General features: G+C 49.6%; 1 protein-coding gene across 1 annotated transcript in view, besides 1 other annotated feature; it reads left to right on the top strand.

The window, feature by feature from the left end:
- ADARB2 (adenosine deaminase RNA specific B2 (inactive)) overlaps nucleotides 1–25902 on the top strand; it is a 560213-nt gene that overhangs the window by 136864 nt on the left and 397447 nt on the right. The window lies entirely within an intron of this gene.
- Nucleotides 5694–5988: a silencer, noted in NCBI's record as "tiled region #9114; HepG2 Repressive non-DNase unmatched - State 10:DNaseD, and K562 Repressive non-DNase unmatched - State 22:ReprW". NCBI's record gives its function as "represses a minimal TATA promoter and a strong SV40 promoter by Sharpr-MPRA in HepG2 and K562 cells {active_cell/tissue: HepG2 | K562}" and the evidence as "EXISTENCE:reporter gene assay evidence [ECO:0000049][PMID:27701403]".

The following is a 25902-nucleotide window of genomic DNA, read 5'->3' as shown; positions in this document are numbered from 1 at the left end:
GAGACAGAGTCTCACTCTGTTGCCCAGGCTGGGGTGCAGTGATGCAATTTCGGCTCATTGCAGCCTCCGCCTCCTGAGTTCAAGTGATCCTCATGACTCGGACTTCGGAGTAGCTGGGATTACAGGGGCGCACCACCACGCCCAGCTACTTTTTGTATTTTTAGTAGAGACGGGGCTTTCGCCATGTTGACCAGGCTGGTCTCAAACTCCTGACCTCAGATGATCCCCCCATCTCAGCTTCCCAAAGTGTTGGGATTATAGGCGTGAGCCACTGTGCCCGGCCTCCTGCTTGAATCTTAATATCCATCCTCTATCAGGTGTTAACAATAGGATTGGACCCGGGCAATGAAGGCCAGCAGTTTCTGGGATAAGGTATTGCCAATGCCAGTTTCCCTAAGTGTAGCCAGGCCTCAGCACCCCATCCCAGGCAAACACCTAATGGGCCCATCTGAGGCTGCAGCTTCTCCCTGCCAGCAGATTTGCTTTTCCCACCACTCCCATTTCTGCACTATTTATACCACATGTGGCCTACCCTCAGGTGAACCTGGCATTGTCACGTGGAGTCCTCATGACTTTTTAAAAAGTAGAAGCAATTGTTGTCATCAAATTATTTCACAGGCCGGGCACAGTGGCACATGTCTGTAATCCCAGCACTTTGGGAGGCCTAGGTGCTCAGATCTCTGGAGCCCAAGTGTTTGAGACCAGCCAGGGCAACATGGTGAAACTCCATTTCTAGAAAAAAAATACAAAAATTAGGTGTGGTGATGCATGCCTGGAGTCCTAGCTACTTGGGAGGCTGAGGTAGGAGAATCACTTGAGCCTAGGGAGGCAGAGGTTCCAGTGAGCTGTGATAGCACCACTGTACTCTACTCCAGCCTCGGCAACAGAGCAGCACCCTGTCTCAAAAAGAGAAAAAAAACAAAGTTTCACAAAGGCTTCCAGACAGAGGAAGGGATACTTAAGAGGCCAGGTGCGAATTTTTTCCTAAACCCCTCACTGACCCACTTCACAATCTGTCTTTCTGTTGTGATTTAAAGTCCAACTGGGAGGGTTGCATCTTCCACATAAATTTAGTGTCCTTTCTGGTACCATGAATGTGTATTAAAATATTAATTAACGGCTCTTCAGGACTACACCCTCCCCAAACCCATATTTCCAATACGTGCTTCCCTGTACACAGGATCATAATGTGAGATGGTCGTGGAAATGATGATAGTGATGACAGTGGCAGTATTCACAGCTACCGGTCGTCACTGCATGCTTGCAGGTCAAAGTGACACACACTTTACATGTTTCTCACTTAATCTGTACAGTTCTTGTATGAATTTCACCCGTCATCATCCTCATTTTGCAGCTCAGCAAACAGAAGCCTCTGGGTCAGTCCCTGGTCATAGAACAGTGAGATTCTCCACGGCCTTTCCATCTTTGTTTCCACCCCCTCAGCCCCTGAAACTCTTTGTCAAGCGAGTCAACGCTGCAGGGAGGATGGCCCGTGCCAATCATAAACTGGGAAGCTGGAATTTTACGTCTGAGATACACTGGTAGCTCACAAAACACATACACACTTTCTCAATTTATCAATTAAGATTTCTTTTGAGTCCTCCCGTTAACATGGCACTCTTGGTTGTGAGCTACAATACTGGGCTGCATGGTAACAGCTGAGGGCCTGGGGCCACCACACACCGGCAGCTGCGCCTCTGTCCAGCCACACAGCAGGTGTGCACCGCGGCCCTGGGCTTCCGGTTGGGAACCTCATGGGCATCCGCTCCCTCCCCTGGGCTTCACTCCTTCCTGCCTGGGTGCCGCAGGCTGTGAGATCCCTGCCTGGGAGATCCCTTCGCTTCTGTCTGCGGATTCCAGTCTGCCTCCTGACCAGAGGGCCAGGGCTCTCCCTGGCTTGCTTAAGCTTTGACCCAGAGCTCCCCAGACAGCCAGCTCCTTCGTGTCCCCACGCCAGCTCTCCTGGGGCCTTCTGCATCTTCTGTGGGCTCCTCCTGCCCAGGGATCCTTCCTCCTCTCCTCTCAGGGGCTTGCTGTCAGGATCTTCCGGAATTGTGTGTAGCTCAGCATCAGGACTCCAAGCAATGGGCCACATCCCCGACCCGTTTCGGTCCAAGCAATGGGCCACATCGCCACCCGTTTCTCCACGGATATTTGTCTACTGTGGGCATCTGAGCAAGGCTGGGTGGTGGGGACTTGCTTTTGTTATTTTAAGTTATGATCCTCATTTATTTTATTTCTATAGATTTGGGGGCTATAGCTGCAGATTTCTTCCATGCATATATTGGATAGTGGTGGAGTCTGGGTTTAGTGCACCCACCTCTGGAATTGTGAGCAGGGCACCCAGCAGGGGATGTCTCAGTGCACCCACCTCTGGAATTGTGAGCAGGGCACCCAGCAGGGGATGTCCCAGTGCACCCACCTCTGGAATTGTGAGCAGGGCACCCAGCAGGGAATGTCTCGGTGCACCCACCACCGGAATTGTAAACAGGGCACCCAGCAGGTGACATTTCAGCTCATGCCCCCACCTCTGCCCTCTGCCTTGTGGAGCCTCCAGTGTCTACTTTTCCACTCAGTGTATCCATGGGTACTCACTGTTTAGCTCTTACTTACAAGTCAGAACATGTGGCATTTGATACATGCTCTGAGTTATTTTTCTTAGGACAATGGTCTCCAGCTCTATCCATGTTGCTGTAAAAGATATGACTTCTTTCTTTTTCATGGCTGCATAGTATTCCACAGTGTATATGTACCACATTGTCTTTATTCAGTGCATTGCTGATGGACACTTAGGTTGATTCCATGCTCTGCTATTATGAGTAGTGCTGCAATAAACAAAGGAAGGCAAGCATCTTTTTTATACAATGATTTCTTTCCCTTTGGGTAGATATCCAGTAGTGGGATTGCTGGACTGAATGGTAGTTCTATTTTTAGTTCTTTGCAAAATCTCCAAGCTGTTTTCAATAGAAGCTATACTAATTTACATTCTCACCAAGAGCATAGTAGCATTCCCTTTGCTTCACAAGCTCACCAGCATCTGTTGTTCATTGACTTTTTAATAACTGCCATTCTGACTGGTGTGAGACGATGTCCCATTGTGGTTTTAATTTGCATTTCTCTGATGGTTAGTGATGATGGTTAAGCATTTTTTCATATGTTTCTTGGCCCCTCATATGTCTCTTTTTGAAAATGTCTGCTCATGTCCTGTGCCCACTTTTTAATGAGGTTATTTTTTTTCTGTTGAGTTGTTTGAGCTCCTTGTAGATTCTGGGTATTGACCCTATGTCAGATGCAAAGTTTGCAAATATTTCTCCTATTCTGTAGGTTGTCTGTTTACTCTGTCAATTGGGAATTGCCTTAAAGATGATAAAAATCATAGTCACCTAAATATCTGCTTCATTTTTGCTATATACACATATCCCCCTCCCCCAAAAGAGAAAAGAAAAACACCCAGAGGGCTTCACTTGAAAGGCTTTATTTTCATTTCATTACTGTCATTTGCAAGATTTTAATGAAGGCTTACAACTCTTCAAAAGAAAGGCACCATCAGCATAATGTATAATTATTCCATGCTCTGTGCCTATATAATCATAATTCCTTAATACTGTGGTCGGTAGTTCTAGTGAACTTTCTTGAGTCTCGTGGCTCCTGGGCAGGAGGCTCACTTTCCCTTTAACAATCACACACTGCCACCCACCGTGGAGAGAAGTCGGCGATGAAGCCCCCCCATTCCCTTTTGCCCAAGAAGACTCTGGGCACCAGTGACGGGAAATGGAATAAAAGACTAAACCCTCCGGGTGCCAGTAAATCCTGGCTTGCTCCCACTCTCCCTCCTGCTGCGGGACACCCTTGCTTTGCCACTTCGTCAACATTGCCATCTTCCCCACTAGACCCCACGGACCCCACAGGCCTTCCCGGAGGTGCTTCTGTCCGGTTGTGCTCTGTGTCCCGGGGCTCATGGCCGGGTGACACCGATTCCCTCATCCTATTCTGAGCAGTGCTCCCCTGGTCTCAGCCACTCAGCCAGCGGGTCCATCCTCGGCACCTCCCCAGCCCCTGCAGGGATCAGGGCCTGTGCCAGGAAGCATCTCTCCTGCAAGCCTCTGTCCTGATGGGGCCTCTCCAGGGGGCTTCACTCAGCTCTTAGTGCAGGGGGTTGCACGTGAATATTTGTTAAGTGACATTTCTCTCCCGGTGCCGGACTTTATTCTCCTAGCTGCCGATGGTCATTATCAGTGTTATTAAATCATTTATAGAGCAGTAATGCTTACAGGGAGGCCAAAAGGATCCCTCTTCATGGAAGATTTTCTTTATACTTGAGCCATTTTACTCCTAAACAAGATAAACTTGTTGGTTTTTCCCCACAAGTAAATGGGATATAAGAAAAACAATCATGATGTTCCAATTGATGCCCATCACTGTTTTCCTTGTCAAAAATGTCATTGCCATTGAGTACCACTTCAAACTATGTTATTGTCATTTTTGAATATGAGTTCTTAGAAGACAATCATCCTAAAGATATATGCAACCCAGCAGTCCACAAAATCCAGTCATCCAGCTCTTGCACCTGGCTGGTTACCAGCATGAAGAGAGCCCCCTTCACTCTTTCTGTGAACAAGTCATGAAGGGGTGTCCATGAGACCTGGCCACAAGTGGAAACAGACCACAAAGCCGTAGGCAGAGCAGCCTGTCTGTGAAGCACACACCTGGAGAGTGCAGAAGGCATGAGCGAGGCCAGCGGGCTGTGGAACACAGCACATTTACTTTCCTGGAAGTGAGCTCATTCTCCCCATAGGCTCCAACATGTAGATGTCCAAAGCTGCTGGGCCTAGGGCTGCTCTGATCTCTGTGGATCCCCACAAACCAACTTTGAAGTCCATTATGACCGGCACAAATGTTTTTAAAATGGTTCACCTGGGAGGATTTTGTCTCTCGGCTGAATTGTAGAAATTGTGAAGACAGGCACCATGCAGAATACTTCTCTCTGGTCTCTCTGGGGTCTGTGCAGAACAAGCAGTGCCTGCATGGGGCTCCAGGGAAAAGGCATTGGACTGGGAGGACAGGGAAGAATCCCAGGGTCTGGCCTCATGGTGACAGCTGAGCCTCGGCCCTCAGCCTCTGACCCTGATGGCAGCCATGGTTCCGACCAGCAGATGCCCCTGCCACATCCGCCCTCCACACTATTTTTTCTAATACAAATCTGACTGTATTGATGTGTTGATCCTTCTGAACGTCCTTAGCCAGTGCCCTGGGGTGAGGCCTAGCCTCCATACCATACTGTCTGATGCCACTGCCGGGTGCTCAGTTGGTCTTTCTGGTCTCCCTGTTGCTGTACTCTGAGACCCTCTCTTCTCAACACAGGAATTCCATGCAGGCAAGCTGTTCTTCAGCGCATTTCTTGAATTTAATCATCATCTGTTCTCTGAGGGCAAAGTTTTTATCTTTTTCTGTGCCTTGCAAATGTTTACTTATTTTCCAAAAGCCAGCTCAAAGATTATCCATGCGGAGGAACCTCGGCTATGTTATAAGTGCACCGTTCCCAAGCCTCAGCTTCCGTATGACATTCAGGCCACGCCCCAGGTGCCACCTGGCTCCCTGCATTGTCTGTGCTGGGCGGGCAGGTCTAGGAATGAGCCACCAAGCCCCTGAGGAAAGACCGCTTCCTGCACTTCCTCAGATCCTGCAGCACAGCCCTGGTCCCCAGCAGAGATGGGGGAGGCAGTGGGCGCTCAGCGGCTGTGTGCTGGATGCGTGGATGGCACCCCACCACAGGTATGCCACACATCTTCAAGCCTTGCTCTGCCCCGATACAACGAAGTGGTGGGAGGAAGGGAGCCCGGATTGTGCAATTCTGCGAGTCTCCACTTACAGGACCTGATATCATGCCACTGGCTGAAAAACTGGAGGCTCTTTAAGCGTCCTCCAGCACAGGCTCTTGATCTTGCTCCAGCAGCCTAAGCTGCTTTAACTGTTAATTCTGAAAAGGAGCCCCTTGCTTAGCCAAGAAAACGAGGAGTGGGCGTTTCTCTCAGTGCTAAGGCCACTGCAAAGGGTCTGTCTGAGGCCCTGTGCTGGAGCCAGGGTGTTTGCTCAGCCCACTCAGAGAGATTGGGCCGCTTGATGGTGAGTTAGCAACATCTGCTCACGGCAAACACCCACGCCAAAATCCTTTCCAACAGACTGGGTGGAAAGGCCCTGCTCTTGGAGACTTGAGGTGAAAATGGCCCCACCACAGAAGACCTGAGGAGAAAAATGGAGAGAGAAACCTACAGCTATGTGGACAGGAGGCATGCTACCTCGCCCCGGGAGGCAGTCACGCAGACGTGGTTTTTGTTGTTGTTGTTGTTTTGTTTGTTTTTTGATTTTCTTTTGAGATGGAGTCTTGCTCTATCACCCAGGCTGGAGTGCAGTGGCACGATCTCAGGTCCCTGCAACCTCTGCCTCCTGGATTTTAAGCGATTCTCCTGCCTCAGCCTCCCGAGTAGCTGGGATTACAGGCGCCCGCCACCATGCCTGGCTAATTTTTGTATTTTTAGTAGAGACAGGGTTTCACTATGTTGGCCAGGCTGGTCCCGAACTCCTGACCTCGTGATCTACCAGCCTCGGCCTCCCAAAGTGCTGGGATTACAAGCATGAGCCACTGCACCCGGCCTCACAGACTTGTTTTTAAGTCAGTACATCAGGAGGACAAGCCGCAGCTGACTGGATGGCTCTTATGGGTCCTGCAGCTCTCCGAATCCCATGAGATGGGCCGGGCAGAAGATGTCATGTAGAAGCACTTCACATATCATCAAATTCTACTCTCAAGGGCTCATTCTTATAAAATTCCCCCAAACCATTCTACCAAGCACTGTATTAGGAAAAAAGAGAGAGAAGGGTAAAAGTCAAATAAACTTGGAAAAAGTTGCCCATCATCAACCTTGTCCATGCAGTCACGTTAGAAGTAATATTGCTGAGGAGCCACAGTTATAAGCAAAAACAAACCAAATCATAAATTAATTAATTCAAAGAAGACTTTTCTAAACTCTTGAGACTACAGAACTCTCTGCTTCTTTAAGCCCGCACTTATTACTACTTCGCAGAAATGGTGTACAGTGGACCATACTTGAGGAATTTAAATTTTAAAAAATTGTCATTGCTTGTATTTCTAATTACCAGTCACCTAAAGGATGTTTCATATGATTTAAATAAACTCAAGAGTATTGGGCACTCATGGTCACCTGACACTGTTGGACCAGAGAGGCGACCTATGGAGCATGGCTAGGGCAAGGGGAGCTGGGTGACAGAGGGGACCATGCCAGAGAGGAGACCTACAGAGTGTGGTTTGGGCCAGGGGAGCTGGGTGACAGAGGGGACCATGCCAGAGAGGAGACCTATGGAGGGTGGCTTGGGTGAGGGAAGCTGGGTGACAGAGGGGACCATGCCAGAGAGGAGACCTATGGAGGGTGGCTTGGGCGAAGGGAGCTGGGTGACAGAGGGGACCATGCCAGAGAGGAGACCGATGGAGCGTGGCTTGGGTGAAGGGAGCTGGGTGACAGAGGGGACCATGCCAGAGAGGAGACCTATGGAGGGTGGCGTGGGCGAGGGAAGCTGGGTGACAGAGGGGACCATGCCAGAGAGGAGACCTATGGAGGGTGGCTTGGGTGAGGGAAGCTGGGTGACAGAGGGGACCATGCCAGAGAGGAGACCTATGGAGGGTGGCTTGGGCGAGGGAAGCTGGGTGACAGAGGGGACCATGCCAGAGAGGAGACCTATGGAGGGTGGCTTGGGTGAGGGAAGCTGGGTGACAGAGGGGACCATGCCAGAGAGGAAACCTATGGAGGGTGGCTTGGGCGAGGGAAGCTGGGTGACAGAGGGGACCATGCCAGAGAAGAGACCTATGGAGGGTGGCTTGGGTGAGTGAATCTGGGTGACAGAGGGGACCATGCCAGAGAGGAGACCTATGGAGGGTGGCTTGGGCGAGGGAAGCTGGGTGACAGAGGGGACCATGCCAGAGAGGAGACCTATGGAGGGTGGCTTGGGCGAGGGTAGCTGGGTGACAGAGGGGACCATGCCAGAGAGGAGACCTATGGAGGGTGGCTTTGGCGAAGGGAGCTGGGTGACAGAGGGGACCATGCCAGAGAGGAGACCTATGGAGGGTGGCTTGGGCGAGGGAAGCTGGGTGACAGAGGGGACCATGCCAGAGAGGAGACCTATGGAGGGTGGCTTGGGCGAGGGTAGCTGGGTGACAGAGGGGACCATGCCAGAGAGGAGACCTATGGAGGGTGGCTTGGGCGAAGGGAGCTGGGTGACAGAGGGGACCATGCCAGAGAGGAGACCTATGGAGGGTGGCTTGGGCGAGGGAAGCTGGGTGACAGAGGGGACCATGCCAGAGAGGAGACCTACAGAGTGTGGCTTGGGCCAGGGGAGCTGGGTGACAGAGGGGATCATGTGGCACGGAGGAGGAGCTGGGCTTTGTTATACTTGCGAGGGCATCTGAGCTTATTATTGTCATCAAAAGCATTTTATCCCATCCTGGGTGTCTGGTGCTCTCAGCATCTTCTTCCAAACCTTCCTAAACAAGATCTTGAATTCACTCTAAAGGGATCCCACCCTGACAGGAGAATCCGGGGAAAACCAGGGTTGTAAAAAGCCCATGTACCAGGGTCAGCCGTAGAGCCGGAACCCCTGCCCAGGAGGGCCTGAGAGCCGCTGTCCACAGGCTGGTGGGTGAGGTGAAGGATGCCGGCCGGAGGTCGATCTTGTGTTTTCCAAGATGAACTGGCAAGAAGATTTTCTTTCATTATAATAATTTATCACTTACAAGATACCAGCGCTACACAGAGATTGCTGAATAATAGATGAAATTGTGCTGAACCAAGTCCCTGCCCTAAGGAGTTTTCCATGGGAGGCATAAGTGGAATCATGTCAGACAAGCATAACACAATCTGCCACCTCGTCCAACAAGACGGCGGCAGGTGGGGGGGTCCTGGTGAGTGTGTGCGTGTGTGTGTGTGTGTGTGCGTGCACGCCTCTGTGTGTAAGAGAGATTCAGAGACAGGGAAACTAGAGATCCATTTAATGTGGAGGGAAGTGGCACCCAGAGAGCACTTTCTGAATTGCACAGACACTGAAGACAGGGAGCAGTCCCCCAACCCCCAAAAGGGCACAGAATGAACTCAGGGGCTCCCATGAAGACCCCTGCCCCCAAATGCAGCCCCACTGTCTCGATGCCTTTGGGTCCAGGCATTCGCCAATAATGCAGCTGTAGACCCTCAGCAGCGAACCCTTTTAACAGTGCTTAGTGGGAATGAGCTGTGGGTGGGGGTACGAAGGGGCATTTTTGAGAGGGAGGAAAGAAGGAAGGGGATGGCACGCCCTCGCGGAGCCTCCGAGCAGCCCTGCAGTGTGGCCGAGGCAGGGACAGCAGCAGCCCTGCCTCTGGTGCTGCGTCTGGATTCAGGGTGGCTTCTCCCACCCACACCCATCAAACTCAGGCGGAGTCCATAACCTGGGGACCAGGCTCCCGGTGAGGCCCCAGCCCAGGCAAGGTTGAGGAATCCTCTTCTGAGGAACCACAAAGGATGAATTAAAAAGGCTTCGGACACAGATTCTTAGAACAGTTTCACTGAGGTATAATCGACACATAGAAATTGCACCTGTTTGCGGAGCCCAGCGTGGCATTAGATGGACAGGTACATTGTGAAACGATTTCCACATCTGTGCTCAGTAGCACGCCTGTGGCCTCAGGTGGTCAGTTCCCCTTTTACTGAGTAACCTGAGCACCCTGGAGACTCTCTCATCACAGCTCCTGCAGCAGACGACGCACGGTTACTGACTGCGTTTCCCGTGCTGAGCATCAGGTCTCCAGAAGGCACTCCTCCCATCCCTGAAACCGTCCACCGTCCACCTCACACCAGCAACCCCCTGCACGACTCTCCGGCTCTGGCAACCACCCTTCTGCTCTCTGTTTCTATGAGTTTGACTATGCTACCAACTTTTACAACCTCTACATGAAATACATGAAAAGACTGCTGCAAATCTCCAAGCCTGACAAAAGCACATGGTTTTTTCCGGTCAGCATTGCAGAGCCTCTCGTCTAACGGCCAGAGGGGAACCACGATGACAGACACTGGTGCTGCCTCCATGAGGAACCAGGTCCAGAGAAAATGCCTCTGGGCAGGAGGGGGAACTGCTGCCTTATTTTTATGTGTTTTCCACTTTTTATTTAACCATGTGGATATATTATTCATAAAAATGAAATTTAGAATAAAAATCAACGAGAACCCATTCACATTAGAACCAGCAACGTTATGGAATGAACTTCGTCATATGGAGCTATTATCTTGAGCCTGATTCACCCATGCTTAATTAAAACCTGAATTCCTGGTATTAATAGCTGATCCCAGTCTGGCCAAGCAATCTGAGGCTCCTAATGGGCTGGGTGCCACAACCAAAATGTGAAAATGAGCACAGATGGAAGTCACCAAGGCCACTGACCTGTGCAGGCTCAGCGCCACTATGCCTTGCGATGATACCACATGGGCACCCAAGACATGGAGGTGCTGGGAGCAACCATGGAGGCGATGCTGCCAGCAAGCCAGGCCAACCTCACACAGCCCACAGGGGCCTGGACACTCTCTCAGGCCCATTCCCCAAATCCAGCAAGGCCAGCCCACAGCTCACAGCCTGGCTCCCAGAGGAGCACCTGCTGAAGCCAGAAGGACCATTTAAAAACCACTTGACACTTTGGGAGGCCAAGGCGGGTGCATCACCTGAGGTCAGGAGTTTGAGACCAGCCTGGCTAATATGGTGAAATCCTGTCTCCTACAAACAAAAAAATTAGCCGGGTATGGTGGCAGGCACCTGTAATCCCAGCTACTCAGGAGGCTGAGACTGGAGAATTGCTTGAACTCAGGAAGCGGAGGTTGTGGTGAGCTGAGATCATGCCATTGCACTCCAGACTGGGCGACAGAGCGAGACTCCATCTCATACATGAAAAATAAAAATAAAAACCTCCTGAAACATGGGATGGGGGACAAGCAGCCGAGGACAGAAGCCAGCAGGCTTCTAACTCAGGGGTGGCCATGGACAAGCATAGGCCAAAGAGGCGGGGCCCATGGTTCTGATGGAGCTGGATGCCCAGACTGTGGACGCCTGGACCATGGACGCCCCGACCGTGGATGTCCTGACCATGGATGCCCCACTGTGGACACCCCAACCATGGACACCCCGACCATGGACACCCCGACCATGGATGCCCTGACCGCAGACGCCCCTCCGTGGATGCCTTGACCATGGATGCCCCAACAGTGGACACCCTACCATGGATGCCCTGATCGTGGATGCCCCGACCATGGATGCCCTGACCGTGGCAGGGTCCGCACCTTTCCACCATACGTTCTCCCCTGGAGGCTGGCGGTCAGGCTGAAGGTGGGTAGGTTCCCATATGAAAGTATCAGTCCTAAAAATGCCCACCATCTGTTCGCCACAAATGTGGCAGAATTCAGAACCAGGGTCTTTCCGATGTGAAAGGAAGGAATTCGGTGCACATAAATAATAACCAGTGGACTGATGGAGCCATGCCAGTAACTTGTGCATGAGAACACAGGAATATTCAGAGGAAGAGGGGTACACAAGAAGACAAAGAGCCTTAGGTCGCTTCAGGTTACGTCTCCCAGCCACAGGGTTTTAGATTTGGGAGCTTTTTAAAATGTGGATGAGGGTGCTGTGCTGTGGTTCTGGGCTGGATAGGCCTGATCAGAACAAAGCCAGCCAGGCCTCAAGCCGACTCCTCCAAGCATCGGAGGCCATGCTGCCTCTGTCAGGAGCTCTGTCTTGATCTGTATCGATCTTGTCATCTGCGAAGCTCTCCACATCTTTTTCTCATGAATTTGTGTCAAAGCAGATCCCACACCCCATTGCCTCCAGAATTGAGTGTGAACCCCAAGGCAGGGGCTGGCGTCCATCCAGGGTCGGGCTGTCTTCCTGCCTTTGTTCCCTGACTTCTGGCTGTCGAACCCACTTTCTCCTCCTTAGGCCAAAATTCCGAGCTCGGTATCAGGCATAGAAAGGTTTTCTCTGCCTTCATCCAGGCGATGTTCCAGCCGCAGAAGGGTGACTCTTGGTGCCATCTTTCTGCGTTTGATTGTTCACCAGCAAATCCTCCCAACAGCAGCACCGTCTGGCCTACCTAGCTCTGTCTACCAAGGGGGAATCTGTTTAAGACAATCTGCACATTAAATTCCCATCATTTGGCCTATCAAGTTCCTTATATTGGTTGCTCATGCTCCAAAAACCCAAGGAAGGGCTTTGTTGATCACCAAATCCAGGCTTGTTGGACCCGCTGCAGATAAAAAACCACCTTGACATAGCATCCGGGGTATCTCAAAATGGGAATAGAGGAAGATACGTTCAGGGTTTCAGGCCTGGGCTGGGCAGCTTTAAGGTGAGTGTTTCAGGGCAGCAACTGGAGGGATTGGGGAGAGGGTGTGACCTGTGAGCTTAGAACTGCTTGTCCTGCAAGGTGGGTCTTGAAGTGAGCCTTGAGCCAGGGTGGCCTCAGTGTGTAGCCTGTGATTGGGTCAAACAAAGATTTACTGGAGCCAAGTCATTTTCCCCTTGTCATAGTATTGTTGCATTAGTCCGCTTTCAGCTGTTGATAAAGACGCAACCGAGACTGGGTAATTTATAAAGAAAAAGACACTTAATGGACTCACAGTTCCATGAGACTAGGGAGGCCTCACAATCATGGCAGAGGATGAAAGGCACATCTTACATGGCGGCAGTCAAGAGAGAATGAGAGCCAAGAGAAAGGGGAAACCCCTTATAAAATCATTAGATCTCATAAGGCTCACTACCGTGAGAATAGTACAGGGGGAACCGCCCCCATGATTCAATTACCTCCCACCAGGTCGCTCCCACAACACGTGGGAATTATGGGAGCTACAATTCAAGATGAGATTTGGGTGGGAACACAACAAACCATATCAATTGTTTAGCACAGAAAAAAATAAAATGCTTGGTTTCAAATTGTTCAGCTGAGGCACAAGAAAGAGATCAGTATTATTTCTCACGGGAACCCACGCTATCTCCCCACACTTACCTATATTGCTTTGTAAGTGCTTATGAAAAAAAAAATCAAAACAACAAATAGACCAAATGCATAACCATATTCACACAGAACCACCTTCTTCTGTCTGAAACCGAACCTACACCATGATCATACACCCTGCTGAAGGAGTGATTTTCAAACATTTTTTCATTTTTCAAGGGAAGCAAGAAAGTCCTATATTTAAAACAAAGCTGAGTTCTTCTGTCTGGATGAGGACTGGAACCTCAGCCGTTCCCCTTTGCTGGAGGAACCCCTGAGGGTCTCTAAAGGGCCCCCGGACGCCCAGAACCCGACTTACATCTCTGGAGCCTTCATGTCAGAAATCATTGTTCTTTTTGTTTTGTTTTGTTGTTTTGTTTTTGAGGTCAAAATAATTCTTTAGGGACAAATTAATTTTACTCTCAAACTATGTGTACTCAGGAAAGGAGATAAGCACCTTTGGTAAAGGAAATGAGTATACAAGCGGTTATAATCATTTTAGCCATTAATGAAACAAAAATCTTTTGAATGCCAGAAGACAGAAAATTTGCAATTCCCCGGTGTAATTGAGTGCACGTTTATAGACTTCATTTTAGTTTTGGAAATAAATTCTTGCACAATGGAGATACCCTGGTTAATTTAAGTTATAATTAAAAACAACCCTAACTTATATATTGATTTCATTACATTGTATTTCATTTCTGTTTATTGTTTCATATTTTAACGAGTTAATAAAGGAGGCGTTTTATATATTTCTTTATGCTACTCACAAACCCACACTACGTCCTGAATAGAAATCACACTTGTGCAACACATTTTTTTCTTCCCAGCTACAGTAATGAGAATGTTTTTCCACTGACATTAAATAATCGCAGAGAATCCAGGAATCTATTCTCTGTGTAGGAAGGAGTCGGTTTTCCTTGTTTTCTGGGCAAAGCAACTTGAGATTTACTTGAAAGAAAAAGGTGTTGAGAAAGATCTAACCATCACCTGATTGAGTAAGGTGAGCAGATCCCCTCGGGGCAGAGATGCAGGTAATCACTTAGGAAAGTGAGATCCTGACCTTGGCACCATGTTGAAATGCCAGCCTGCATTGATCTTCCCACAAGAAAGGCTTCACTCTATTCCGGAAGTGAAGTCAAATGCATCTGAAAATGTGGGCTGAGCCATTCCCGACCATCCCGCCAGCTGCTCTCAGGTGCCTCATCTTCTGGATTTGGTGGCTTTCAGATCAAGCACTCGGGGTCCTTCAGCCAATACCCTTTGCTGCCTCATAATTCTTGTAGTTGCTGCAGGAGTAGAAAGCCAAAGACTGGGGTCAGAAGAACTGGGTTGGACTTTTTGTGGCTGTTTGTTGTTAATAGACTTTAATAATTTGGGGGTTGTGAACAGAAAATACCTGAGACAGGTCTCAATCAATTTAGAAAATTTATTTTGCCAAGGTTAAGGATGCACCCATGACACAGCCTCAGTAGGTCCTGATGACGTGTGCCCAAGGTGGTCAGGTCACAGTTTGGTTTTGGGGTGTTTTTTGTTTTTTGTTCGTTTGTTTGTTTGAGATGGAGTCTCGCTCTGTCACCCAGGCTGGAGTGCAGTGGCGCTATCTTGGCTCACTGCAAGCTCCGCCTCCCAGGTTCACACCATTCTCCTGCCTCAGCCTCCCAAGTAGCTGGGACTACAGCCGCCCGCCACCCCACCCAGCCAGTTTTTTGTATTTTTAGTAGAGACGGGGTTTCACCGTGTTAGCCAGGATGGTCTCGATCTCCTGACCTCGTGATCTGCCCACCTTGGCCTCCCAAAGTGCTGAGATTACAGGTGTGAGACACCGCACCCAGACACAGTTTGGTTTTATAGATTTCAGGGAGACCTGAGACATCAATCAATATCAGTCTGCGTAAAATGTACATCAGTTGGTCTAGAAAGGTAGGACAACTTGAGGTCAGCAGGGGCTTCCAGGTCATAGGTAGCTTTTCACCGAATACACAATTCCCATGTGAGAGGAGGGTAGAGCAGGAATCATCACGTAAGCCTTGGTCTGGCTCAGTGACTCTGCATTGTTACATAAGCAATAGGGCAGAGGAAGCAATTAGATATATGTTTGTCTCAGGTGCACAGGGGGATGACTTTGAATTCTGTCTGTCCTTTGTCCACAGGGAATTTCCTTGTGGGCAAATCACGAGGGAAGCATGTAGCTTTTTTTTATCTTTGTAGCGATCTTATTTAGGAACCAAATGGAAAACAGGTTTGTCCGATGCAGTTCCCAACTCGACTTTTCCCTTTGGCTTAGCGATTTGGGGATCCTGAGATTTATTTTCCTTTCATGGGGTTCACAGCATAATTGAGTGGTGAGTACAGAGTTACCCCATGCCCCTGTCCCCAGTATAGTCGCAGCCTCCCCCACTGTCCGCACTGCCCATCAAAGGGGGTTTTTGTTGTAGTCGATGAACCTACATTGACAATCACCACCACCCACCCAGAGTTCACAGTTTACATTAGGGTTCACCATAGCAGAATGTATTGTACATTCTGTGGGTGTAGACAAATGTACAATGGCATGTATCCACCATTACAGTATACAGCACCATACAGGGTGATTTTTCTGTCCCAAATCCCATGTACTCCACTTGTTTACCTCCCCCTCCTCCAAACCCTGGCAACCCCTGATCTTTTCATTGTCTGCAAATTTTCACCTTTTCCAGAATGTCCTAGAGATGGACTCCTACAGGATGTAGCCTTTTCAGATGGTCTTTCTTCTTTCAGTTAGCAATATGCACTTACATTTCCCCCGTGTCTTTTTGTGGCTTTGTAGCTCATTTCTTTCAAGCACTGAATAGCTGGATAATATGCCATGATCTGGATGAACCACAGACGATGTATCCATTCACCCACTGAAGGGCCTCTTGGTCGCTCCAAGTTTTGGCAGTTATGGATAAAGCTCCTACAACCATCCAAGTGCAGGTTTTTGCGTGGACATAAGTTTTAAACTCCTTTGAGTAAATGCCAAGAAGCACGATTGCTGGATCATATGACCAAACAATGTTTACTTTTGTTAGAAACCATGGAACTGTCATCCACAGAAGCTGTGCTATTTTGCATTCCCACCAGCAATGATGGGAGTTCCTGCTGCTCCACATCCTCACCAGCATCCAGGGTGTCCATGTTCTGGATTTTGGCCATGCTATTAGGGGTGTAGTGGCATCTCATTGGTGTTTTTATCTGCGTTCTCTAGTGACATATGATACGGGGCGACTTTTCATAGGTTGATTTGCCATCTGTATCTCTTCTTTGGCGTGGTATCAGTTAAGGTCTTAGGTGCATTTTTTAATTGGGTTGTTTGTTTTTCTATTGTTGAGTTTTAACTGTCCTTTATATATTTTCTCCTAATCTATGGTATGCATTCTCATTTTCTTGATGTTGGGTTCTACCGTGCACAAGTTTTTAAATTAAGTCCCATTTATTGATTTTGTTTTTATGGATTGTTTCTTGGGTGTCGTATCTAAAAAGTCAGCATCATACCTAAGGTCATCTACATTTTCTCCTATGTCATCTTGTAGGAGTTTTATAGCTTTGCATTTTACATTTAGGTCTGTGATTCATTTTGAATTAATTTTTACAAAAGCTGTTAGATTTGTGTCTGGACTCATTTTTTGGCTTGCGGATGTCTAATTATTATAGCACCTTTGCTGCTCTGTCAACAATCAACCCTTAACCCTAACCCTGTATTTGTGTGGGTCTATTTCTGGGTTCTCTATTCTGTTCCACTGATCTATTTGTCCTTTCTTTCACCAGTTGGTGCTTCTCCTTCAGCATTGTATTGGCTACTCTGGGCCTTTTGCCTCTCCACATAAACTTTAGAATGAGTTTGGTGATATCCACAACATCACTTGCTCAGATTTTGATTGAGAATATATTGAATCTACAAATCAAGTGAGGAAGAAGTGACATCTTAAAAATACTGAGTCTTCCTATCCATGAACATGGAATTTCTCTCATTTGGTTCTTGAATTTCTTTCTTTCGAGTTTCGTAGTTTTCCTCATATCTTGTACATGATTCGTTAGATTCATACCTAAGCATCTGACTTGGGGGTGGGCTGAGTTCTTTGTTGACCTAATTATCTATTTTAGTAAGCCATTCATCTCCTTTAGGCCTGCATCACTTCATCTTAAAAATTCTGCTTTATACACTGCACAGGGCTGTTGCAAAGACCAAATGATAAATCAGACTTGAAAGCTATCTGTAAAATGCAAAGCTCTGTAGATTCTCAAGATCATATTTGCATTAAGGGCCCTGTCAGTATATACAATTCTACAACTGTTTTTATGACAGTGACCCCTTGCCATCCTCTTATCATGTGGCATTTTTTACTTTTCTCTGGGAAGGTGAAATTTTGAACACTGCATATTGAAATGTGACCTCTGTGGAGGCAGAATAGGTCAAGTGTTGATCTATGGCATGAAGTCCCAATGGCTGAAATCCTGAAAAATTGTTCGTCCTTAATCCAACAATTACTTTGTGATGATAGATGAAATCGCAGTCACCAGGAGAAAGAGCAATATTGGTGACAACAAGTACAAAGTGGATGCATCTGGGAATACAGAGACACAAGTGGCTCAGCCCATGCACCAGGGAGGGCTTTCCAAGACAGGCCCATGACTGCTCTGTAGTGTCATTAACACGCTCATCAGAGCTGGGGGCTCTTATAGCCCCTGGGTCTGAGCAGAGGCACCATGATTATGAAATCAGTGCTGAAGGGCACTACGAGGAGGGTGCTGAATGGGGCCTGGCTGACATTGATCTTCCTGAAAACCATGCTTCCCTGTGACATGGAACTCATGGGAATTTATGGAGGGTGAGAGGAGCTTGAGCAGCCTGAGAAGAGTAGCATTTGCACTAGTGTTAGGGTCGAGCCACAGACACCAGCAGATGTGGCTTGAGTTCATGCACTGGCACTGACTGTTTGGCTGAGGGTGCTGCTTGGTGCACCCATTGCATTCAAACATGGTGGCAATTGCAATGGAAGTGGTCATCGTTCTGTAGCTATGACTGTCATTCATCTCCAGTAAAGGTGGAAAATATATCAAGAAAAAAATGCATGGATTTATTCTTCGAAGGCCATTTCTGGTCTTCTGACACTGCCAGGGAAACCAGGGCAGCACGAGGATGGATTTTGCTTCCTAAGGCATAAAATGTGGAGTCAAACGCAGGGATCTACCAGCTGTGGGTCAGTGCTGGGCAGACCCCAGTGAGGGCTGCTGCTGATAGGGGCCCTGAGACTGAGCATGGGAGGCAGCGAGGCCCTCCCTCTGCCACCAGCAGGTAACGCAGGGTCACGTCACTTCCCACTGCTGCCGAAGTAGCTGGGCCAGAGACAACTCCAACTCCAAATGGTTTCCTGTGTCCCAAGGTGCTCATCTACCACTTAATCCATTTCTGCCTCTCATCCATCATGTAAATGAAACGTGGAATGGTCCCAAGTTTCTTCAAGAGGCTGTTAGCCCTCGACAGCAAGTATTTTAGAGCTGATTAGATTAAGAAGGTCTGCTCGGACCTCAAGTCAAGTGCTGTTTATGCAGCTCGAGTGTCAACCAAGCTCAGTGGACCGCAGTGAGTAGGGAAGTGGCCTCTGGGGGAGGAGATGGTTTCCTGTTCCAGGGCAGAGAAAACAGCCACTGTGTACTTAGCATGTGTGGGCAGCGTGCTGAGATCTTGGCCTCTCTGCACACACACACACACACACACACACACACACACACACACACACATCTATTTCTAAGTCATCTCTATGCCTATCTGGGTGCATCTGTGTCTCTCTCTATGCACTATGTCTATGTATGTGCAGGTGACTCTGAGTGTGTTCTCTCATCTGTATGTGCTGTGTATACATTCTCTGTCTATATCTAGCTCTATCCAGATGTATGTTCACACACATGTATGTATATAGGTATACACACACACACTTAATACTCAAAAATTATCCATGAGGTGAGTAGTATCAGATACTCTAGACCTACCCCTGTGGTAGTTACTGTTGTTCCATTCTACAGGTTTACGTACAGGCTCATTACCTGGTCACGGTGGCAGCTAACAAGGAGTAGAGCCAGGCTGGGAACTCAGGAGGTGGCTCCAGGGCCCAGGCTCCACTGTTGCGCCTCCTGCTCTGGGAGTGAAGAGGCCACGTGGCCGCCTGAGCTCCTGTCCTCGGGGGAGATGGTGACATTTCTCTACCAGCAGAGGCAGCACCTTCCTAGAAACCCAGCTCCAGTGGAACTGGGTGTATGCTTCCAGGTAGCTGTCACAGGGAAAGCTCCCACGAGCGGAACGTCTGATGGGTTTAAGCCTCACAACAGTTCCAGGCTTCTTCCCCGCACCTTGAACATCGTTTGAGGACTGCTGGCCCCACAGCAGTCTTCTCCCAGACCAGGTTCTATCCCTGCTTCTAGTCAGTGTATTGGCGAGGATATAGAGGGCCGTAAACATTTTCACCACGTATTCCAGCAGCTCCACGCTGAGTATTTACCCAAAGGAGCTGGAAACATGTCCACACAAAATCCTGCACACAGATGCTTATAGCGGCTTTATTCAGAATAGGAGGCAACCAAGATGCCCTTCAGTGGGTGAGGGAATAAGCACTGGGCTTCATCCGCACGATGGTGCATGATTCAGCACAGAGAGAAATGAGCGATCAAGCCATGGAAGAACCTGGAGGAATCTTAAGTGCACGTTGCTACGTGAATGAGGCAGTCTGAAATGGTTATAAGGTGTATATTCTGAAAACATAAAGCTATGAAAACATACCAGTGGTGGCCAGGGCTTGTGGGGAAGGAGGGAGGAACAGAAGGAGCATGGCGGATTTTTAGGGCAGGGACGCTGCTCTGTGTGATGTTCCAATGTGGATCCAAGACACTCTCCACCGGTCCAAGCCCATAGAAGGTTCAACACCAAGCGTAAGCCCCAGCTTAATCTGTGGACTTGATAACGGGGTGGTTGTGCATTTGTGGGGAGGAGGTACAGGGGAGCTCTCTCTACCTTCTTTGCTGAGAACCACAAACTGCTCTAAATAAAATGAAATCTCTAAAAAAAAAAAAGCCTTAAGACAAATTTTCTCATCTCAGAAAGAAAGACCCGTGAAGAGATAAGTTACAATGCCAGACCAACATATATACACAATTTTAGAAATATGGCATAGCATTATCCTAAGCGAACTAATGCAGGACAGAAAACCAAACACCACATTTTCTCACTTATAAGTGGGGGCTAGATGTTGAGACTTCATGAACACAAAGAAGGACCAATACACACCCTGCTTGATGGTGGAGGGCAGGAGGAGGGCAAGGATTGAAAAACCATCTATCAGCCACTTTGCATATGAGCTGGGTGGTGAAATAATCTGTACACCAATGTACCCTGGCAACACGCGATTTACCTGTGCAACAAACACGTACATGTACTCCTGAAACCATGATAAAGGTTTTTTAAAAATAAGAAAGAAATCTGGCACACAGCATAGACAATTCGGGGGCACTGTTCAGCAACTGGTGACTCGCTCGTCTGCCTCGTCCAAGTTGTACATTCCTGGGGGAGTGGAGACTGTTTTCGTGAACAGGGATAACTAATGTTTACTGGGTGAACAGACAAGACTTCAAAAGGGAGCCCCTGAGTCCTGAAAGGTGAGCGGCTGCTAGAGACACCAGGCATGTCTGGGGAGATTCGGGGAGAGAATGCCACCTGGGCATCCATGGCCAGCCTGTGCAGGATGTCTGGACCACTCAGAAGTCAGACCAAGTGTGATGAGGGTTTGGGATGAGAAGTCACCAGCGGTAACCTCAGAGGTGTCAGTTGGGGCCAAGGAATTCGCCTTCTGTTGAGAAGTTCGTCCTTCCTCTTTCTCACATGATAAACTAGCATATTTAAATCAACTAGCTCAGATTTGGAGTCTTTATTTTATTTTTTAGGAAGTATTTCTGCTTCACTTAGAAAAGTGAGATGCTCTGTGTCTGTGACATGCTGCCTCACTGGAGAGTATTTTAGAGTCCCTTCCACCCCTTGACTGTCAAATCAGAAAGGGATCGCTTTCATTGAGCGCCTGTTTCCTCATGTACTCTTTACAGCTGAGTCACAATCTCTCAAATCATAGTCAACAATTCTCTTGATTCCGACCAACTGATGATTAACTTGCTGTTATGTGCATACTATAATTTCTCCATTTTCATCTTTCTTTAAAAAATGCAGAAATTACATGATTCAGCGGCACACATAACCATGTGGCTGAGTCTAACGCAGGCAATCGTAGGAGGATGTAAATTGTGCCTTCTATTCATTGTGTGGTTTTGCCAGGGCTCTAAGCCTCATGGGAAACAGTGTATTTGCCCTCGAACAGGTGACCGACATTCCCAGATGACAGGTCTGTGACCGCTGAGCATCTTCACCTGCCTGACTCTAAGTACTTGATATAAAGCGGTGTGCTAGGAGGATGCCAGCCTATCAGAGCTGGAAGGCAGGGTAAACTGAGGCAGTGTGGGCACCTGGGGCTCTCCCACCTCGTGGTATCCTGATCCATCCCGCTCGCTATCCACCTGCCTCCTGCCCTGATGGGCCAGGCTTGCTGGTCCCTGCCCACCTCTGCCCCTGGCTGCGGCATCCTTCCTCTGTGTCCCACCCCAGACCCCAGCGCCCAGCCTCACCAGGCGCATGGGGAAGCTCTCCCAGGGCCCCAGGGAGAATGCATGAGTGTGGGCCTGTGGGTGCTGGTGGTGTTTGTAGGTGTGTGTATATGCGTGTGTGTGCATATATGGGGGGGACATGTCTGTAAACGAGTACCTGTGTGTATAAACATAGGTACCTGTGTGCGGCGTGAATGTGTGCCTGAGTCTGTGTGAGTGTGCATGAGCATGTGTGTGCACACACTTCTCTCTGTGTGTGTGTGTGTTTGGGGTAACATGGTACACAGTGTGAGCTCATGGAGAACAGTGGTTCAGCCAAGGATTTGGGTACCCGGCCCGACAGCACCCACGGCTGCCAGGGGAGCCTCCAGACCCACGCCAAGGGCCCCAGGAAGCCGAGCACTCACAGGCGGGGCTGCCTTTGCACCAGCACAGCTCCCAGCTCACTACTGCCAGTGACTTGTTCAAGCTCAAGTCTGTCCTAGAAATAAAGCCTCACGCAGGTTTCAAAGTCGCTTGCAGTGATAAAATGAAACTAAGTTGTTTATATTTTTAATTTAAAAATGTCACAATTAACATGAACTCATTAAAGAAAAATAAGAAAATTTTAGTAACGCAATATTTTTAAATGTGTATTCAAAACAGGGATGAGTGTGACTTCATGCTTTGTCACCTGCTCTTTTTTGCTGCCTGGCCCTCCTGCCTCTGCACGTGCCATCTGTTCCGCTGCGGGAAGTGCTGGGAACCCCTTAAGTTCACCTCGTTCAAATTTCCATCCTATGGGGTGGTGAAGAGGTATAAATGATATACAGCACACACCGCCTTGCTTTGCTGGGTCTGCTGAAAGAAGCCCCGCAGATGGGGTGGCTGGAGCAACTGACTTTCCTGCTTCCACAGTCCTGGAGGCTGGAGTCTGAGATCAGCGTGTCCACAGGGCTGGCTCTGCCTAAGGCTTCTCTTCATGGCTTGCAGCCACTGTCTTCTCCCTGTGTCCTCACAGGGTTGTCCCTCTGGTTGTGTCTGTGTCCTCATCTCCTCTTTTTATAAGGACACCAGGCAGATCGGATTTGTGCCCATCCTAATGATCTCATTTTATCTTAATTACCTGTTTGAAGATCCCGATCTCCAAATACAGTCACCGTCTGATGTCCTGGGGGTTAGGGCTTCAGCATGGGACTTTGGGGGACACAGCTCACATGCAGCACATTGGGCTGCTCCCTGTGTGTCGTGTGCGGCAGGGATGGTGGGGCTGCACATTCGCTCCACCCACCGTCCTTTCCCACCGTCCCCTGGGCACCACCCTCACCAGCCACAGCCACAAGGCCTTCGTACAGCCTGGCACGTTCACAGCTGCCAGCCCTGGTCGGAGGCCCTGGTCTCAATGACGTCAGTGCTAGTCTGGGGACAAGCCCCACTGCTTTTGGATAGAGTCACCAGACCAAATAAAGGAGACCTGATCAGATTCTAATTTCAATAAACAACATCCACCTTCTGTGTGCATGAGGGTATCACTGCAGCTTCTGGATGGCCTTACACCAGGATGCACCTGAGCTTCTTTCCATCCACCTCCTGTGTGCATGAGGGTATCACTGCAGCTTCTGGATGGCCTTACACCAGGATGCACCTGAGCTTCTTTCCATCCACCTTCTGTGTGCATGAGGGTATTACTGCAGTTTCCGGGACAGCTTTGCACCAGGATGCACCTGAGCTTCTTTCCACCCACCACCTGTGTGCATGAGGGTATCACTGCAGCTTCTGGATGGCCTTACACCAGAGCGCACCTGGGCTTCTTTCCTTGCTGTGTCTGAGCCACCCCAGGCCTAGGGCTCTACAAGGTGGAGAAAGTTGGAGGGTCCTTCGTGAGAACTGCACTGAATCTGTTCAATCAGCCATGGGAACCCAAGGGGACAGCAACCACTGCACCTGCTGAGCCTCCCCGGGCCAGCAACCTACCCAGAGCCTGAGGCCCGCTGTCACCCAGCCCCAGCCCCTTGGAGACACCTCACTGCCTCCAAGACCAGAAGGGGAACTGAGGCTTGGAGAGGGCAAGCAGCTGCTGCCCCAGGGCCACACAGCAGACTGAATCGCACTTGACGAAGTCCACACGCCCCTCCTCATCCTCCACCTTCAATGTGTTTTGCAGCCATTGTCCCCAAGGGCCTTTCCTTGAGAGACCCTGGGGATGTGGGTTTCAGGGCTCAAAGCTTCAGGAAACACAGCTGCTCCATCTCCAACTGGAGGGTGCACAGCGCCCCTCCGCTCACTACAGACTGATGATCACCTGTCTCCAAACGGGGGTTGCACAGTGCCCCTCACCCACTTGAGACCGAAGATCGCTGGATGGAGACACAGACCTAGCACTGCTTATCCCTGGGGTCCCACCTGCAGTTCACGGGACCCTCAGTCCTCTCGGCTCCTGCCAGCACCACAGAACCATAGCATGAACTGCTGCTACCGTATTTGCAGGAAGTCCAGCAGGGAGAGCCCTCCTGCAATGGCCCCTGAGCCCCTCCAGTGATCCTGAGCCCCCTCCTGTGACTCTGAGCCCCCTCCTGTGACCCTAAGCCACTTCCTGTGACCCTGAGACCCATCCTGTGACCCTGAGACCCATCCTGTGACCCTGAGCCCCTCCAGTGATCCTGAGCCCCCTCCTTTGACCCTGAGCCCTACAGTGACCCTAAGCCACCTCCTGTGACCCTGAGACCTGTCCTGTGACCCTGAGCTCCTCCAGTGACCCTGAGACCTGTCCTGTGACCCTGAACCCCCCTCCTGTGACCGTGGACCCCCCTCTTGTGACCCTGGGCCCCCTCCTGTGACTCTGAGCCCCCTCCCGTGGCCCTGAGCCCCCTCCTGTGACCCTGGGCCCCCTCCTGTGACCCTGACCCCCCCGCCGAGTGGCCCTGGGCCCCCTCCCATGGATCCTGAACTTCCCTTTAGTGACCCTGAGCCCCCTCCCATGGCCCCGGAGTACCCCTCCCATGCGCTTTGTGCTCTGCAGCTATAGGTGCCCCTCTCTGACTTGAGGGGCTTCATGGGCTCTCTGACAGGAAGGGTTTCCTGAGCAATGTGCAGTGGAGGAGGGATGCAGGTGGACTGGGTTGAGCTGATTCAGAAACGACCCTGGCACTGCCCCAAGGCCAGAGCCAAACCGCCAGGCTCTCTCGGTCTCTGTGACCCCATCTGGAAACCATGGAGCTTGACCACAGGGGGATCCCACAGAGTCCCCCAGCTGAACCTCCCACCCTCCTCCACCCCAGGGCCAGAGAGGCGCAGGAGCAGGTGGGGAGGAGGCTGAGGACTGAGGGAGAGAGAGGGTGGCTGTGCACAGAGCCCCTCAGAGCAGCGTCTGCACGCATGTGTCTCCAGTGTGTGCAAACAGGAAGGGGCTCCAGGGCCCCTCTGACCCGGCAGTGCTGGTGCTGAGTGCTGCATGCCCATCTGCTTACTTTTCTCCCATGTCTCTGCTATGAAATGTGCTGCTTTGGCATCTTTAAGACCCATTATTCTCCACGATCACCACCTGTGAGTTGCCAGAACAAGCATGCATTTCCCTCCCAGAAAAATAATCAGCACTGAGACTACAGAATCCAGCCACTACCTTTTTAATGAGCTGAGCAGACTGGCTTTTAATTTATAGCAGCTTCTTAGCAGCCAGGGGAATATATTAGTTTTAATTTTTTTTTAAGAAACAAAAACAGTAGAATTGCTCTGTTCATAAAATCCAATCACAAGCAAGCCGTTCCATGAGGGGTGAATTAATTAGCACTACTTATTAAGGTTTTACTTCTATTGATTCATTCTGGTCCATCAATAATCTTAATTCACCCACAAAACCAATTCAGCTTAATAACCTGTACAAGGGAGTCAGGAAGTTGAGTTACCTATTACAATGTTGCAGCCCTGTTACCTGTTACAATGTTGCTGCCCATGGTTTCTCTTTTGACTTCTGTTTTTCTGTCAACTCAGCCCCTGAATCGCTGCCCCTGGATCTCCTGGCAGTGCCACTCAACATCCTGAGATCACCCCTCAAATCCTCTTTCCTCTCCACTCTGCCAACATAGCCCCTCCTGCCTTATGTCAGGTAACTGAAATAGCTGCCTCTTCCAGGCTGTATGTGTCCCCCGAATTCACAGGTTGAAGTCTGACCCCCAGGACCTCAGTTGACTGGG

Source organism: Homo sapiens, chromosome 10 (genome assembly GCF_000001405.40).
Source record: "Homo sapiens chromosome 10, GRCh38.p14 Primary Assembly".
Classification (NCBI taxonomy): Eukaryota; Metazoa; Chordata; class Mammalia; order Primates; family Hominidae; genus Homo; species Homo sapiens.
The sequence above is the reverse complement of the archived record's forward strand: the minus strand, read 5'-3'. Positions and strand labels throughout refer to the sequence as shown.